The 17,614-nt window shown below is 37.7% G+C and overlaps 1 protein-coding gene across 9 annotated transcripts, besides 3 other annotated features; it reads left to right on the top strand.

Moving 5' to 3' along the window:
* Positions 2,332-2,401: an enhancer, noted in NCBI's record as "active region_5464". NCBI's record gives its function as "activates an Ori minimal core promoter by ATAC-STARR-seq in GM12878 lymphoblastoid cells {active_cell/tissue: GM12878}" and the evidence as "EXISTENCE:reporter gene assay evidence [ECO:0000049][PMID:35858748]".
* Positions 2,792-2,901: a silencer, noted in NCBI's record as "silent region_3868". NCBI's record gives its function as "represses an Ori minimal core promoter by ATAC-STARR-seq in GM12878 lymphoblastoid cells {active_cell/tissue: GM12878}" and the evidence as "EXISTENCE:reporter gene assay evidence [ECO:0000049][PMID:35858748]".
* Positions 2,826-17,214, top strand: MSANTD4 (Myb/SANT DNA binding domain containing 4 with coiled-coils). Of its 9 annotated transcripts, none has more exons than XM_047427709.1 (4): positions 2,826-2,918; positions 11,072-11,167; positions 14,046-14,657; positions 15,003-17,214. In XM_047427709.1, the coding sequence occupies exons 3-4, from the start codon at positions 14,196-14,198 to the stop codon at positions 15,576-15,578; spliced, it is 1,038 nt and encodes a 345-aa protein (XP_047283665.1). In that variant the 5' UTR covers positions 2,826-2,918; positions 11,072-11,167; positions 14,046-14,195; the 3' UTR covers positions 15,579-17,214. The 9 variants fall into 9 exon arrangements, with proteins under 9 accessions (XP_047283665.1, XP_016873905.1, NP_001305679.1 ...); XM_017018416.2 differs by having other exon boundaries at positions 2,826-3,277; XM_011543022.4 differs by having other exon boundaries at positions 2,873-4,151.
* Positions 3,232-3,351: an enhancer, noted in NCBI's record as "active region_5463". NCBI's record gives its function as "activates an Ori minimal core promoter by ATAC-STARR-seq in GM12878 lymphoblastoid cells {active_cell/tissue: GM12878}" and the evidence as "EXISTENCE:reporter gene assay evidence [ECO:0000049][PMID:35858748]".
* Positions 17,215-17,614: the final 400 nt, after the last annotated feature.

The following is a 17,614-nucleotide window of genomic DNA, read 5'->3' as shown; positions in this document are numbered from 1 at the left end:
TGTGAAGAAACCTCCAGTTATAAAATGAGTAAGTTATGGGAATCTGTCATAAAGCATGGTGACTATAGTTAATATTATATTGTTTACTTGAAATTTTCTAAGAAAGTGCATCTTAAGTGCCCTCACCTCCCCCCCCCACCCCCCCCCACCAAATAATGGTAACTATGTGTGGTGATGGATGTATTGATTGTGGTAATCATTTCACAATGTATATGTATATCAAATCATCATGAATATATATAATTTTTATTTGTCAATCATACCTCAATAAAGCTGGAAACAATTTAAAAACAGGTAAAATTAATTTTAATAATATATTTTTCTTAACCTAATTATGCAAAAATTATAATTTCAACTTATAGTCAACACAAAAATTATTAGTGAGATATTTATTTTTTTCATGCTAAATCTTGGAATCCTGCATATATTTTACACTTACAGCACATCTCAATTCAGACACTATTTTTAAATCAGAAATACTTGATCTATATTTAGATTTCAAAAAGTTTACAATTGAAAAAGTATACACATAACCCAAATTTTCCAAATAGAAGTATCTAGTAACTTGAATCAAATATCAGTTTTTAAATTAAAGTTAATTAAAATTAATAAAATTAAAATTCAGTTATTTGGTTGTACTAGCCACATTCCAATGACTCATCTGGCTATCACAGTTGGACAGCACAGTTGTAAAGTAAGTGTGTAAGTATCTTTGGGTCAAATCTCTAGCCTGGACTTAAGAAAAATTAAATCAGCAAACAGGTTGATCATGGAGTACTGATAGTACACATTATGGATTACCTTCAAATTCTTCATTGTTGGTCCATATCCACTCAGACAAGATGTAGCTGAGAGGAAATAGTGAGGGTATTTGGAAAAGATACTTCAATTAGCAAAGAGACTGAGGTTAATTGGGGAAAGCTTAGAGTTCATGATACGAAAGCAAAAGTTTGTTAATACTGATTCACCATTCTTGTCCCCATTACTGAGGTAAATAAACAGAGTCAAGTGGTGGACAGGTTCTGAACAGAACTGATAGTGTCTGGTTATGATGGGGATAGCTAGTTATCTTACTTTCTCACTGCACTCATCAAAAAAACACCACCCACCATGAACAAAATCCAAAATTATAAAATACAACTTGTATTTTTCCAAAAATTACAAGTTTCTTTTGATCTACTTTGGCAAAAGTATAGACATGCTTCTTTGACAAACATGTCTATACTTACTGACAAAGTCATAAGTAACAATCTGTAAGATCAATCTGATCATTACATTTTAAAGAGCATATTTCATAATTACTTCCTATTTTATGGGAGAGTTCCTCCAAGAATATCCAGCAAGGATGCACCATTCCTCCAGAATATTCCACCATTTATTTACCAAATCTTTTTTGTCTGTTACATTCTAGGCACTGTGTTATTCACAACAGTAAACAAGAAAAGCCCCACCCACATAAAATATGTGGGAAGTGCTGTCAGAGGAAAGGCCGTGATGAGAGCTCGCTGAAGTAGGCTTGCAGATTTAGTAAACAAAAATTTTTATTTTTTTAAATTTAGCAAATAAACATATGGATACCAAATATTCCATTGGACAGATTAAAAATTATTTGCTTTTTATCTGAACTTCAAATTTAACTGAGCGTCCTGTTTTTATCTGGCAAACCTACAGGGAAGGGAATACTTGGAAGTGGAGGGAGGGTGAATGGAGATAATTTTGGAAGCCTTCCTTTAGAAAGGAATTTCTAAAAATGAATGCTAGGCATAGCGGAGAAGCAGGGAGGAAACACAGCAATGCAAACTGACTTCCCAGTAGCCACTGTAGAGTTCAGGAACTGAAAGAAGCAAAGGGAATGGGGTAAGGAAGAAGAAATGTGGGTATAATGTCGAGAGATGAAGGTTGAGGGAAAAGTAGGTGCCTTATTTTTCAGGTTCGATAAGGAGTTTGTACTGTATCACCAGTGGTGAGATTCCACTAAAAAACTTTAAGCAGCTCATTTTGGCTACAACGTGAAGAATGAACTACAGTCCGGCAGACAGGATGTTGGGAGACCAGCTAGGAGGCTACTGATGGAATTCAGGTGAGTCCACAGAGGCCTGGACAGAGGCAGCGGGAAGAAAGGTGCACTAATCACAAACACCTGAACGTGAGACGGCAGAAAATAAGCAACTGCAAACTTGAATATAGAGGAGGACTGGGAGAGAAGAAAGCAGAAGCACATATTTGGGGAAACAGTGAAGAATGGTAAAAAAAAAAAAAAAAAAAAAAAAAAATTCAAATGTCTTCTGGGAAGTATATAGTATGATAAGGACTAAGAAGTGACTCCTAGATTTAGCCATAAGGAAGTCACCAGCGACCTTTGGCACGGGCAGCCTTAGAGGAATGGCTGAGGCCAATTAGGTCGCAGCTGGTCGAGGAGAAGGTGATGCTGGCCTAAGAACCCGACTGGAGCAGCACAAGTTTCCTACTTCTTCTTTGCCCTTTTAACAGGTGAGGGTCAAGGACAAGAGACGAGTTTGGAGATGCAGCGGCCAGTGCCCCAATCAGTTGGAACAGCGCAGCAAGCGGATCTCTAGGGGCCAATCCCTTCCTAGAGTCCACTTGACTGACAGAGCTGCGCGCCACAGACGGGGCACAGACAGGGAGGTGAATCACGAGGGGGCGGAATTCCAGGGCACTAACCCGGAACCGGTTTGGGACTTGATTCCCATTGTGAGGCCAGGCCTAGGGCGGGCTCTCAGCCAGAATGGCTACACCATTCTAACCAATGGATGAGACTCATCAAATGAGCGGCAGCCATATGAGCCATTGGGGTGGCGGGAGATGGGCGGGCCCAGTTAGTGGGCGGGGGATCAATGAAGCATCTTTTTTCCTACCCCCCTTGGGGCGACCGTGGGGAGGTGCCGCCGGGGTCGCAGGTGAGCGGTTCTATGCTGGAGGAGGCGGCCAGGGAAGCGGCGGCTCCGTGACCAGTGGGTGCCCTCGCAGTGGGTAGGGTCCCGGAGGGGTCAGCGGCAATTGGCGCAACGCTTGCTGCCGGGTTTGGTCCAAGGGCTGCGACGTAGCGGGACTGCACGCTCGGGAGAAGTGCCACGCGCGTCTGTCGCCTGACCGGGGAGGCTGGGGAGGGCCCAGGCCACGGAAACAAGACTGCAGAAGTTTCTGGGCACTCAGTCGGGACTCTCATTTAATACCCAGAGAGAGGAGATCTTCCAGGTTGCCCCGACTCCCACCGGGACTCCTACCAGCAGCAACCTCATCATTGTGGCCGAGGCAGGTGCGCGCCCCTGCTCCCCTGGGTGGCCTTCCGGGAGCCCAGTCTAACTCGATTCTTCCCAGGGGCTCTTTTTGGACGGTCCCAAAGGAGGCAGCGGGAGGGAGGTGAAAGATACTTTGATAACCGTCGACCCATAAGTATACTTGTTATGCACCTACCACGAGTTTTAGAGAAGAACATACTTTTTGGCAGGGAAGTGAATCCCCTATAAGAATATAGGGGAGGGGAAAGCCACACTTTAAAGAGAATTTGGGTAGGGTTTGATATTGTAGATTTGTGATGCTTTTCTTCTTGAACTGCTTAACTAATTTACCCTCAAATTTTTTTGATCCGGAACTTGCCGTCTGGTTTTTCTCAGACTTCTTAATTCTGACTTATCATGAAGTATCTAGGAACTTCATTCTCAAGTTTTAGTGCTTGTAAAAAGTTGCCTGGTTATATTATGCCATTGGCAGTACATCATCTTCACAAGGATTACGTAAGTGAACTACATCTCATTCCTGTTTCCAACTAGTGAAGAACGATTGTGAAATGGGATTTTAGAAAATGGCTGTTCTCTGTGATTGGGCATAGAAGGTTTGTAAGTTTTAGAGACTGCAGCTGTTGAATCCTTTCTGCTAAGAGAGCGATGACAGGCAATAGAAAAGGGATAGTGTTTGACATCTAAAATGACATATTTTCACATTTTATGAGGTGTTATATCCCCAGCACCAAAAATAGTGCCTTTCACACAGTAGGAGCTCAGTAAGTATTTTTTGAGGAAATTATTGGGGAATGAATGGATGGTAGAAAACCCAAGCTTCTGTTACTTGGATACCGGCATATAAAGGAGAGGACAGGAAGACAAACATTTCTGGAAATGGCTTTTATCCAGGTAAGCATATCTACAGAACTTCAACAACTCAAGATGCATCAATGCTGGCACTTTCTTGCACTTAATCAGAAAATATCAAGGTTTTAGAAGAAGATTTTCACACAATTAAGCCAAGACTGGGTATCTAAGGTGCATCCCAATATCAATTTCAGTCAGGTTAAAAATGTATTAAAGCCCATTTGATTAAATGAAATAGTTCATCAGTTCAGAATAGATCAGTCAGGACAACGGGATACCACTTTGTAAGTTAGAGATATGGAGTTAGGAATTGTTGGTCAAAAATAGGCCCTGCAAATAGCAACAGCTGCTGTCAAACTTTAAAAATATATTGACTCAGTGGTACTTCAAAAGGACTGCTATTTCTACCATGTACCAATACATTTACAACAATGCGATTTCTAAATTGATCTCAGATTCTAAGAGCAAAATCTTACGGTGGATATCTGCATAAATTTGGACTCTCGACAACTTCAATCATTTTTATTATATACTTATATTGGTTATATATTTATATGTTACTACAGTAACAGTTCTTCCATATTAATGGTAGCCTGCTTGAATTTCAAAAAACTTTCACAGTTATATTTGTCTCTTTCAGTTCATTTTTAGCAAATAATAGTCTTATTAAGCCAGAATTCGCTTAGTAAGATTTGCTGCTTGGCACTATCCTAATTTTCCAGCTTTAATTCCTGATACTTCTTTCTTTTATTTCTGTCCCTCATTAGTCTGTTTTATAAGACCCAAATCAAATGCTGATTCTGACTCAAAACATTCCTTGATCCCATCAAAGATTTGTCTTTCTTATGAATATCCAGAGTATTTTGTTAGTATTTCTTTATTGTAGTTTTTGTATATTTGCATTATTCATCCAGTGAAGAAATATTTGTTAATTACATTCAGATACTGTACTGGGCAATGGATAATAGCTGACATTTGTGGGCTTACTATGTCTTAGGCATGATAAACTTCTTAATCGGTTTATCTCTTTTAATCTTCAAAACATCACGAGTATTAGTCTATTATTCCCATTTATAGATGAAGAAACAAGTTTAAGAGGTTAAGTAATTCGCTGGAGATCACAGAGCTAGTTAAGTGGTGGAATTGGCATACAGCCTTAGGTAGTCTGTATTCACAACCTTCAGGTTACAGACTTCATTACAATTTGTTTATGTACTTTTTTTATGCATCTGTGTTTTACTAAGTTGCAAATTATTTGATAGCAGGAATAATATATTCGTATCTGATCTCTTATTGCTCCTAATGTAAATCAGTGGTGTAATAAAGCTGATAGTGGAAGCACATAGGGAGGACATCAGACTTAGGTGAATGGGAACAGTGAAGAGATCCTGGAACAGAAGACATTTAAACAAGAGTGCTGAAGGATGAGTAGGCATTGGCCTGACGAAAAGGCAGACACCATGGAAATGGGGAAGATGACCTGGGGAAATATATGTGTGATAGTCCAAGGTCAGGGACCATGATGGCTTGAGTTGTGCTGTTCCAGTATGGTAGCCAGTAGCCTTACATTATTGAATGTAAATATCTCAATAATTGTTTATATTGATTATATTTCAAAATAACATTTTGGATATATTGGGTTAAATAAAATACTCACTTTTACCTGTTTCTTTTTACCGTTTTAATGTGGCTACTTGGGGATTTAAAATTACATATAGGGCTCTTACATTTCTATTGGACAGCACTGATCTAGAATTTAGAGGGATTTGAAAATGACTGGTATTGTGTTTGTGTGCCACCTACATGTGAGTACATGTTTGATGAGGAAGGTGGATTGGGAAAGTAGGTTGGGAGTTGGTACTGGAGGTGATGGATAAGACCAGAAAAGGTAGATGGGAAAGTGTAAAGGTAGGGTTCAGATAGGGTTTACAATAGGAAGAGAGGAAGAGCAAGGGAAGTAAACTTACCTCTTAAGTGCAATGGAAAGCCTTGAAAGGTTTTAAACACTCAGTATATACCTATTGAATGACACAGTGTCCTAATTAATTCATCTAATAATGCATGTTCCTGATTTATACTACTAATTCAGTCATAATTTTTCCTAATGGAGATATGGATAGGGGTCTAAAGACATTCTACTTAGAAGAAAATTTGGTTCTCAAGAGAGCAGTCCTTTTCTTCTTATATCTAAATCACCTAAGCTTTCATTCATTCTTTTGATGTGTTTCCAACAAATAGGAGTGTGAATTGGTCCTACAACTAGCATATTCTTCTTGCATTTGACATAACATTCTCTTGGGCATATTTTTCCATAAATAAACCAGCTTTGTCTGTATTTTAAGTCTTTTGTGGCAGATGAGGTCTTTTCTTAATAATCTCCTAAAGGAAGTTTCTTAGGAGCTACACCATTTGCTCTCTGCCTTGCCTTTCTGTACATATTTCACCAAGTAAACTCTTAACATTGATTCTCTAGTTGGGTGGTTCTCAATCCTGGCTGCAAATGAGAAGCACTTGGAGAGCTTTTAAACTCTGAATGCCCGGCCCCATTCCAAAGATTGTTTTAATTGGTCAGAGATGGGAACTGGTTATAGGTATTTTTAAAAGCTCTTTAGGTTATTTTGATGTGCTATAGACCTACACTTTTGAGTAGATTAGCTACTAAATACATGTTCTATTGGGTTCTTGAAATGTGACTAATACAAAATGAGGTATGTTGTAACTGTAAAGTACACATTGTATTCTAATGACAGCGAAAGAAAACAATGGAAAATTTCTCATTGATAATTTTTATATTATTGCATATTGAAATAATATATTGACTATACAGCATATGGAGTGAAATAAAAGCTGTTAATATTAATCACCTTTTCATTTCATTTTTACTTCACTGGGATCACTAGGAAATTTTAAATTACGTGTGTAGATTACATTGTATTTCTATTGAACAGTGCCACTCTAGCCTAGACTGTTGCTACTCAAGATGCGGTCCGAGGACGTCATTTGTCAAAAATGTAGAATCCCAGGCCCCACCGCAGACCTGAATCAGAGTCTGCATTTTAATGGGGTTCCCAGGTGATTCATATACATGCTATAGTTTGAGAGACACAGCTCTAGCAACATCTAAAAAATGTTTTTCAATTGTATAATTTTTCTTCATTTCTTATTATTTTTCACTGTGGATTCCAACTTCGGCTCTTCATTTGTCATTTAGAATCATTCATATGCACGTCATTTCTCTGTTTTCAGTAAATTCTCTTAAATTTTTTTATCGCTTAACATTTTCAACAGACATAGCTTTTTAATGTATGTGATGGAATTAGTATGTATTCATGTAATACATATAATTTGTCCATAAATATTTACATACTATTATAAACGATTTTTCTGGAAAGAATTTCAAGAAATTGCTAATAGTAGTTACATTGGTGGTAGAAATTTTTCACTTCATTGTGAATTTACATTCTTATTTAGATTTTCTAACTATATGTATATTTTGCTGTTTTAAAAAAATGGGACTTTAAATAATGTAGTTCTCTATAATAAAAATTTCTTATAAGTAGATTTTTAATATAATGTTGATCACCTCAAAGTAAAATAAAATAAATGTGCTGTGGGCTAAGAAGCAGCCATATGGCTGAGACAGAAATGACTGTGCACATGATCCCCAGGTTGGTGGTAGACAGAGTTAATGAACCTGTTGTAGAGCATAGGATGTTCTGTGTCTGCGAATGTTCCTAAGTTGATCTGTGAACATGTACACACACAGACAGATGCATTTCCTTTGCCAATTTTGTTGGCTTGCATCAACTATAGCATCTACGTGGGGATTATGTGCTAAGACATCCATACTCTAACATGACATTTATTGCATATATTCCATTATGTGACTTAATAGTTTATTCATCCAGTCCCCTTTTGATAAATATTTCTATTTTTACCATGCTTTTACCTTAAAAATGTGATAGTGATTTTTAAATGGCTCAAAAGGCTATGTAAATGCTCTGAAACATTCTGTGTATTTTGGAAACCAAAATTTATCTTTATCACATGTAGGCATTTGATTTGGTGGGATGTGATATATCTTTGGCTCTCTGTTCTGTTTTTTGAGGACATAAAATGTGCTGATTTTATTTTTTTTAATGTCCTTGATAACCTATTTATGGTTGGTCAATATGCCTGACTAGCAATATAGCCTGTTAGCTGAAGATTTTTCTTCAGAATTTTGAATAACCTGTTAACTGTCTCATTGTTTAGTGTAGTTATAGGGTGGACATCTGTTCTTCACTTACAGGCTAACTGCTTCTTGCCTATGTTGACTTGCTTCTGTTTTCTTATAAGCATATGCTTTGTGTGCCTATGGAAACTTCAGTTTTCCTGACTTACTTTCCTTGAATTAGTTTCTGTTTCTCTTTCTATACCCTTTCCCATCCCTTTATCATTTTCTTGTTTTGAGTTCATATTTTTACCTCCTCCTATTTGTTAGGCACAGTGCCAGGTATTGAAGATCCTGTTTTTAGAGCAGATGGGCGACTATCTCCTAGGTCCTTAGAGGTGGGGCAGATTGTAGAAGGAAAAAGCCAAGTTTTGACCAATAATTCTTTCACTTGTCCTGCAACATAGGGTACTAAGAAGCAGCATATTGGGGCTGGTTTAATGATGTGTGTAAATCACTTTGCTTCAGTTTTTTATATTGTGGCTTATAAACATGGTACCTCATGAATATTTTTAGTCACCTCTAGAGGAAAGCTGAATGCTTGCCCAAGCTATTGGATAATTTGAATTACATAGGAATGTTAGGCCAGAGTATTAATTAAATGTGATCCTCTAAAATTATTTAAGTGTTCTAGGCTCAGCATGGTGGCTCACACCTGTAATCCTAGCACTTTAGGAGGCTAAGGCAGGAGGATCACCTGAGGCAAAAAGTTCAAGACCAGCCTGGACAACATAGCAAGACCTTGTCTATATAAAAGCTTTAAAAATTAGTAGTACATGGTGGTGCACCTGCCTTGCTACTCAGGAAGCTGAGGCGGGAAGATCACTGGGGCTCAGGAGTTTGAGGGTGCAATGAATTATGATTGAGCCACTGTACTCCAGTCTGGGGAACAGAGTGAGACCCTGTCTCTAAAAATAAAATAAAATTATAAGCATTCTACAGTGTTCACTAAACTGCCTTGGAATCAGATGTTAAAACATTTCATTTTCTTTTATTTATTAGATAATATTTGATTTACACAAAAATAATATAGCTGGAGTGTTCTAATAAAGCAGCTCTCTGCCCACTCAAAAAAAAAAAAAAGTTCTAATTTGACAATTCTGTAGTATTAGTAAGTGCCGTCTTGGCCAATTTTTAGCTCCTAACATGACATGGCTGAATGTGGAGTTGCAAAGAGATGTCCGCAATTGATTCTTGAGAGCTCTCATGGGCAGGTTCCACCACACTCCTAATGTAAGTATATATGTTATGAAGCATAATAATAAAGACCCATGGGACCTATCCCTCAACTTAGGAACTAAACAATTCCAATATTATTGTGACATTTTTGTTTCCTTTTGTCAAAGTTATTTAAATGTTTTGCCTTTGATGTGGCAAATACATAATAGTGCTTAATGTGCACCAGGAACTGTTCTCTTTGTTTGACTAAGTCCTTTAATCCTTATAGGATTTCTATGAAGTAATGTTATTATCATTTTACAAATAAAATTACGCATAGGGAAGTTAAGTAACTGAGGCCACACAGCTAGGAATTGCCAGAGCCAGGACTCTAACCCGGGTGGTCTGACTCCAGAATCTGTGCTCATAACTACTACACACACTACCTCTTTTGATGTTTCTATTTATAGATAAACTTTGCTTATATTATTTGCTTATATTCTAGAGGATAAAGGTTTACATTTGACTGTAAGAGGAGTATATCTCTAGGGCAGTATCAAGAGTGCTATTGTTGGTTATACATTCCAATTTTGTGGATTTCAATTTTATTATTAAATTTCTCTTGAGAAATTTTCAAAGTCTATAAGTCTACTTTAGAAATAGTTGGCTTGCAGTCTTCTTTTCTTTTGTTTTTGCATACGTTGCCCTTTTTTGTGGGTATGTGAAATTGACAGTGATTTCTTGAGAGTTCATTTCAGCTGTTTTGAATTTTTAGTTTTCTGACCTCTATTTCAGCAGCAAGTGGCAGTTCAGGAGATGGTTATTCCACATGAGTGATTGGAAACAAAGATGTGGTGATGGGCATATATTTGTTGATGTTATTAGACACGTACAAAGTCAGCTGAAGAAAGAATACCAAGAGCTTGAAAAGGAAAAATGCATAAAGGTTTAATGCAATGGTGATAAGAAATGCTTTGTTATTAAGTTTAAAAATAAGGTATTAGCATCCACTTTTCAGTCTAAAAGAGAAAAGATGATAGAAAAGATGTGCATTTTCTTATTCAATTTAGCCTTGCTTAATTGCTATATTTTTGCTTCAGTAGAAGATACTATTTGTATTGTGAATTAGAGTAGAACTATTTTTCACACTAATGAAAAGTTTAAATTGGCAGACAGAGTAAGAGAAAAGAAACCATGTGTTAAAAGGTAAACTGAGACATGATAACTTTTAACAAGTTTATTTGAGCAAACAGTGATTCTTGAATCAGGCAGCTCCAAACCAGAAGTGGTTTGGGGGCTCTGCAGTGGAAACACAAAGCGGGGAGGCTTTATAGGTCTAACAGAAGTAAAACAAAGTAAATATTTGATTGGTTACAGTTATAAGATTGTCTAATTTGACCTATCCTGCTGGAAGGTTACATAAGTTAGTTGCATAAGTTAGCTGACAGCTTCTGATTGCTTAGTCTTAAGTTTCTTTTTTAAAAAATATCGATATTTACCAAAAAAATAGCCCAAGTTAAGTGTTGCATATGTTTGCAAATGAAGCAAGGTTAAAGTCTCTTATGAGGCCTAACTGGTTTTGTCTGCTTAGGGATTCTTCAGGCCAGGTCTCCGGTCTAATTTACTTTAACAGGAGGTAGAGGAAATGTAACCGATTGAAAGAATTTTATCTGGACCTTCCACATAGGTAAGAGTCTCCTTTTGAAAATCTTTTACTAAATGACATCTCAAAACTTACCTTAGCAACACTTTTTTGTTGTTGTTGTTGTTTGAGACAAAGTCTCACTGTTTCCCCCAGGTTGGGGTGCAGTGGCACAATCTCGGCTCACTGCAACCTCCACCTACTGGGTTCAAGCGATTCTCATGCCTCAGCCTCCTGAGTAGCTGGGATTATAGGTGTGCACCACCATGCCCAGCTAATTTTTTGTATTTTTAGTAGATACGGGGTTTTGCCATGCTGCCCAGGCTGGTCTTGAACTTCTGAGCTCAGGCAATCCGCCCGCCTCAGCCTCCCAAAGTGCTAGGATTACAGGCATGAGCCACCGCGCCTGGGCAACAACACATTTTTAAGGTTTAGCTATCACAAGCTGCTAATAAAGTCAAAGTACATGTGACGTGAGGGAACCTGGTGGTAGTAAGTCTTGCCATTTAACTAGCTGTGTTGTGGGCAAATTAACCTCTCTGGATCTTGTTTTATAAATAGAAAGGCTGGTATCTCCCATTTAATGTTATGATGGGGTTTAAATGACAGGATTTGGAACTTCATGGATAGTTTGATACTTTTTTTCATATTGACAGGAAAAGTTTAAGGTCAAACAGTGATAGAGCTGGAAGGGATCTTAGTAATGTCATCCCATTTCACATTTTGTAGGGGAGGAAAAGTCAGCTCTGTAGCAGTTATCAGTGAGTGAATTTGAAGTCAGACAGCATGGTCTGTGTAAGGTACCCCTTACTCTTTCTGAGCCCTGTTTCCCCTTACATCTTTTAAAATCTCTTTTCCAAGTCAAAGTGCTTTTTTGACATCTATCCCTCAGTTGAATCATTATTATTCTCCTCAGTTGAATCAATATTAATAAAGCAATATGTACTATACTGTGTGAGACACTGGGACCTTTTTGGTAGATGACCTCATTTTCTGCCGCTATGAGACAATCGAGTCCCTGACTCACTCACCATCTGTTCCAGCCTCCTAGTATGCCTTCTGATAATGCAAAGGCTAGCTAGCACAAAAACTACACTTCCCCAATCCATTGCAGTGAGGATTGTGGATGTGCTTTAGATTCCACCAGATGCACTTATGTAAGGCTTGAATTCAAGGTAGATAAGAGAGTGAGGCATGTGAATCATCTGTTCTACTAGTGTGGGTCTAGCACAGACGTTTTACTGTGCATTAGAGTTATCTGGAGGGTTTATTGAAACACAGATTGCTAGGTCCCACTTCGAGAGTTCCCAGTCTGGAGAGGAGCCTAAAAAGTTTACATTTCTGACAAGTTTCAGGTACACCCTCTTTGACAGTCTGACAACCTGAGATTCTGGAAATTGGAGAAACATTGTCTCGTATCTAAAAGAAATGCTTACAAGAGAGGATCTTTTCCACTCAAAATCTGTATACAAATATTGCCACATGGATATTTTAAAATTTATTTAATGGAGACTCCAAGTATACGTACTTTCCTATTGTGCTCTTCAACTCTACAATTAAAGTGGCCCAGAAAAATACAAAGTACTGCTGAGAAATTCTCCAAAGAAAGGCACATAATTAAGAGCCTTAATTAGAAACAAAAATATAGTCCAGCCTGGTTTTGTTTGATGTTAGGGGCTTTTGTTTGGTGGTTTAAGGGAGGGGAGGATGGGGTGAGCTTTGAGGAACAGAATTACAAGGGCAAACCATGCAATGTGCACTAGTCTTTGAAAGGTTTAGGAATCTAAAAAATTTTTTTGGTGATATTTTCCTTTTTCTTTTTGAGTGATCATTTTTTTTTTTTTTTGGTTATCTTTTTTTGTTGATCTTTTTTGTTGATCTTTTTACTTACATGATTAATTAGGTGGGATGGCTGGGTAAAATCCTTGCCATTTTTTTGTTACCCCTTTAATTTTGTCATATTCCTACAATACTTTCATTGTTTCAGGAAATTATATTCGAAATTTAGGATTTCTGTGTTGGTTTATTAACCTTAAAATGAGTTTGAATTTGTGAAGTAGTAAAATGTAGGTAGTTGGCATTTATTTGATCAGATTACATTGTCTCAAATTGGTTTCTGAGTTTTATTGATTTTGCAGCTCAGCCTTTCAGTTTTTCTCTAAAATTATTCTGCAAAGTGTACTTTTTCTTTTAGATATCTCAAACTAATGATTATTTTGGCAAATCGACTCTTTCATTCATTCAAAACATATTTATGGTATGCATGCCATGTGCCAGAATCTCTGCTAGGCTCTGGGGAGGTGATGGCCAGTGGAAACATCCCTGCCCTTGTGAAACTTTGCAGTGAACTGGGGAAAGGACAGACTCTGAGCTGTATGTTAGCACAAGTATAAAATCCAGTCTAGGAAGAGTCCTGCAAATTTTATGCTGGAGTAATTTGATTTGTCAGGAAAGGCTTCCCTGAGAAACGGATGCTTAATCTGCAAGCTAAAGGATGAGGAGGAATAAAGTAGACCGAGGAGGAATAAAATAGACCGAGAAGGGAGCAATCCATTTTCCAGGCAGAAGGAACAGTGTGGACAAAGGCCCTGAACTAAGAAAGAGTTTGACAGGAATAGGTGGCTGAAAGATGGCCAGTGCAATTGGAGGAGAGAGGGAGAATTTGTGGGAGAAGGAGCTGAAGTAGTAGGAAGGGAGTCAGGAATGAATAGTGGCAACTGGTTAGGAACCTTTGCAGCACACCAGTGGGGAGAAAACGGCAATTTGGACTATGTTAGTACTGGCAAAGATAAAGAAGTACACAATTTTAAGCTATATTTAGAGGGTTGTTTTTTGTTTCTCTTAAAAATTATATAGTTCATTAGGTTGAAGTATGTTGTAGAAGTTGCAGATTGATTGATTGCTTGTACTTTTTTCCTTTTAGGAATTATCCAGACTGCCTTGCCACTAGATGAATGGAAGACAATGATTTGAACTAAGGGCCAGCAAAGAATTATCCCTGGTTTTTGTGCTTTGCAGCATTCCTCAAATTGTTTTCACATCTCTTACCATAAAAACTGCATTGAAATTGAAAATGAAGCAGTTGAAAAGAAAAAGGAAAAGCAATTTTAGTGTTCAAGAAACTCAGACCCTTTTGAAAGAAATTACGAAAAGGAAAGAAGTCATTTTTTCCAAGCAGCTCAATACAACAATTAATGTGATGAAGCGAATGGCTTGGGAAGAGATTGCACAGTGTGTGAATGCTGTAGGAGAAGGAGAACAGAGGACAGGGACAGAGGTGAAAAGAAGGTACCTTGACTGGCGAGCACTTATGAAGAGAAAGAGGATGAAGGCCAACATTAAGCTGGTTGGTTCAGGATTTCCCCTTCCCTCCTCTGATTTGGATGACTCTCTCACTGAAGAGATAGATGAAAAGATTGGATTCCGAAATGATGCAAATTTTGACTGGCAAAATGTGGCAGATTTCAGGGATGCAGGTGGATCCTTAACTGAGGTCAAGGTGGAAGAGGAAGAAAGGGATCCGCAGAGTCCTGAAGTAAGTATTAGCCTCTGTACCCTCTTTTAATCTTTTCAATTCTGATGTGGGAGATTATTGTTCAGGAACTGTTAACACATTCCAAGATTTTCAAGCTTATTTAAAAATAGTACATAACAAGTCATTCTGCTTTTCTCTTTACATCGTTAATACTTTTCTTCCCACCTAAATATAATTACCTAGGTTATATGTATTACAGACATCAAGTAATTCAGTGTAAATGATATTCAAAATTCAAATTAAGTATTTTTCCCCAAACGACGCAGAAAGCTTTTAAGAAATATTTAGACAAATTGCCACAAAGTAGAAGTCAATACTGAAAATTGCTTTTCTCTTTGCTCTTAGTTTGAAATTGAGGAGGAGGAAGAAATGTTGTCATCCGTCATACCAGATTCCAGGAGAGAAAATGAACTTCCCGATTTCCCCCACATTGATGAGTTTTTTACCCTTAACTCAACACCATCTAGATCTGCATATGATGAGCCTCATTTGCTCGTAAATATTGAGAAACAGAAACTAGAGTTGGAAAAACGACGACTGGATATCGAGGCCGAAAGGCTGCAGGTAGAAAAGGAACGCCTACAAATCGAGAAAGAGAGGCTGCGGCATTTAGACATGGAACATGAGCGGCTTCAGCTAGAGAAGGAGCGGCTGCAGATTGAAAGAGAAAAGTTGAGGTTACAGATAGTCAATTCAGAGAAACCGTCCTTGGAAAATGAACTTGGTCAAGGAGAAAAATCCATGCTTCAACCACAGGACATAGAAACAGAGAAGTTAAAACTTGAGCGAGAACGCTTGCAACTGGAAAAGGATAGGCTGCAGTTTTTGAAGTTTGAATCTGAGAAGCTGCAGATTGAAAAGGAACGCTTACAGGTAGAGAAAGACAGACTTCGAATTCAGAAAGAAGGACACTTGCAGTGATTTTTCCAGGCTTCCATTTAGCAAATGTTTGAAAACTCTAGATTTTTCTCATATCAGGTGATATAATGATGGTTGCTGGATTAGCTGTGGTTTCTTGTCTAATGTCAGTGTTCAGTAGGAAAAAGTTATATGTGGATAACTGTATGCCTAAGTAGTATATAAAAGCTGTGCCCTAGCGTAAACAGTATAGCAGAAACTTACTGTGCTGGACTCTTTACCTTATAATATTACATAGAGTCTTGTATTGTCTGTGTACCCAGAGTTTACAATTATGTCCATATAAAATTCTAGCCCAGAAGTTCTCATCTGGGGTAGATTTTGGCCTTCAGAAGACCAATTTGGTGATGTCTGGAGACATGTTGGGTTGTCAAAACTGGGGTGGGGAAAAGGTTGCTACTGTGCAATGCATACCTCCTCAACACCCCCCCACACTCAGTAAAGAATTTTCCAACCCAAAATATCATTAGTCCTGAGGTTGAGAAACCCTGTCCTAGCCTAACTGTGTACCTCTATAGCTATGTTTTATAGTTTTAGAATATTAAAACCTCAGATATTTATGTGGGTAGGTACTTAAATGGCCAAAAACTTTAACTATGAAATGTTACTGTGTAGTATATTGAATATAGGAAGTGATGAAGATTATAGGTATTTTATTCCCATGTTTCCATCTATAAATAGCCTTCTCAGATTCAGAAAACAATACAGAGAACATCAGAAATTTTCTAAAATGGGTCACTTTGAAAAGAATTCTTTTTCTCACTATTAATGCTTTAGAAGCAAGACGCAATTTTAAAGCTTTAGTTCCTTTTCTTTCAGTCATTGTCTTAGTTTGGGTACAAAAATGTCATTTCAGTAATGTACTGAAATCTTATAAGTGAATAGTTGAAGCTAGTAAAAATGATACCAGTATAAAAATGGTACTTGTAGTCCATGAGCTTGAACCCAATGACTGATTGTTTGACTTTTAAAATAAGTAATAGCAGCCATTTGGGAGTAGGGGGTAGGTGGGGAAGATGTACTCCGTATCAAATAATAATGATGTTGAAATAATGATAGTAGGTATGTATTATGGATTGGAGAAGCACTTATTACACTATCTAACCTAATATGTAGAACAATTCTTGAGAGTTGTATCTGTCGTTATTTCTGAATGTGAAGCTCAGAGAAGTGACACAGAGTAAATGGCTGATCTTCTATATTGTAGTATATTTTGTCCTTCCCTCTTCCCTGAGGAACAAAGCACGTATCTTTAGTCTCTTTGATATTTATTCTGAGACCAAGGGCTTGCTTGACCTGATGATTTTCCTTCAGCTCTCTGAAGGTGCTTTTTCCACAATCCAAGTGATTCTGATACACACTAAAGTTGAGAATCACTGCACTAGATCACTTTGTGTTTTCTGATTTTCAAGGTTGATACGTAGCTTTAATACAGCTCTTCTGTTGACAGTTATTACTTTAATTTTGCATTTGTTCCTTGTAAGAATGGCTGGAAACTGTGTGTTGACATTTGAGGATGGGTATGCAAGGAAAAAATATACTTCTGTTTACTTACTCTGACTTTGAAATAGTGTTATTTTTCTATATCTGAAATAAATGCTTCTACCATAGAAATAAATTTGCCTATACTATCTGAGAATTTGTAATTTCAGATGATACTCAGTGCTCTAAGGGTAGAGGTTATCAAGCTTAGAAGAGAGCCCTGTCACAGTCAGTGAGGACAGAGGCCTAAATAACATTTGGACTGGACATTGAGCTATGTATGCTGCATATGTTATTTGCTCCTCAAAAGAACCCTTGAGATCTAACTCAGGTGATACGGTTTAGCTCTTTCCTCACCCAAATCTCATCTTGAATTGTAGCTCCCATAATTCCCATGTGTTGTGGGAGGGACCCAGTGGAAAATAATTGAATCATGGGAGCAGTTTCCCCCACTGTTCTCATGGTAGTGAATAAGTAAGTCTCACAAGATCTGATGGTTTTATAAGAGGAAACCCCTTTCTCTTGGTTCTCATTTTCTCTCTTGCCTGTGTCCATGT

The sequence above is a fragment of the Homo sapiens genome, chromosome 11, assembly GCF_000001405.40.
Source record: "Homo sapiens chromosome 11, GRCh38.p14 Primary Assembly".
Classification (NCBI taxonomy): Eukaryota; Metazoa; Chordata; class Mammalia; order Primates; family Hominidae; genus Homo; species Homo sapiens.
This window is presented reverse-complemented; position numbering and strand designations above follow the sequence as displayed.

What these genes read in the sequence shown, in the direction of transcription:
- MSANTD4 (XM_047427709.1), top strand. Translation starts at nt 14,196, where the DNA reads ATGAAGCAGTTGAAAAGAAAAAGGAAAAGCAATTTTAGTGTTCAAGAA. An exon ending in GGGATCCGCAGAGTCCTGAA is followed by an intron (nt 14,658 to 15,002) that starts GTAAGTATTAGC and finishes CTTTGCTCTTAG; the next exon opens with TTTGAAATTGAGGAGGAGGA.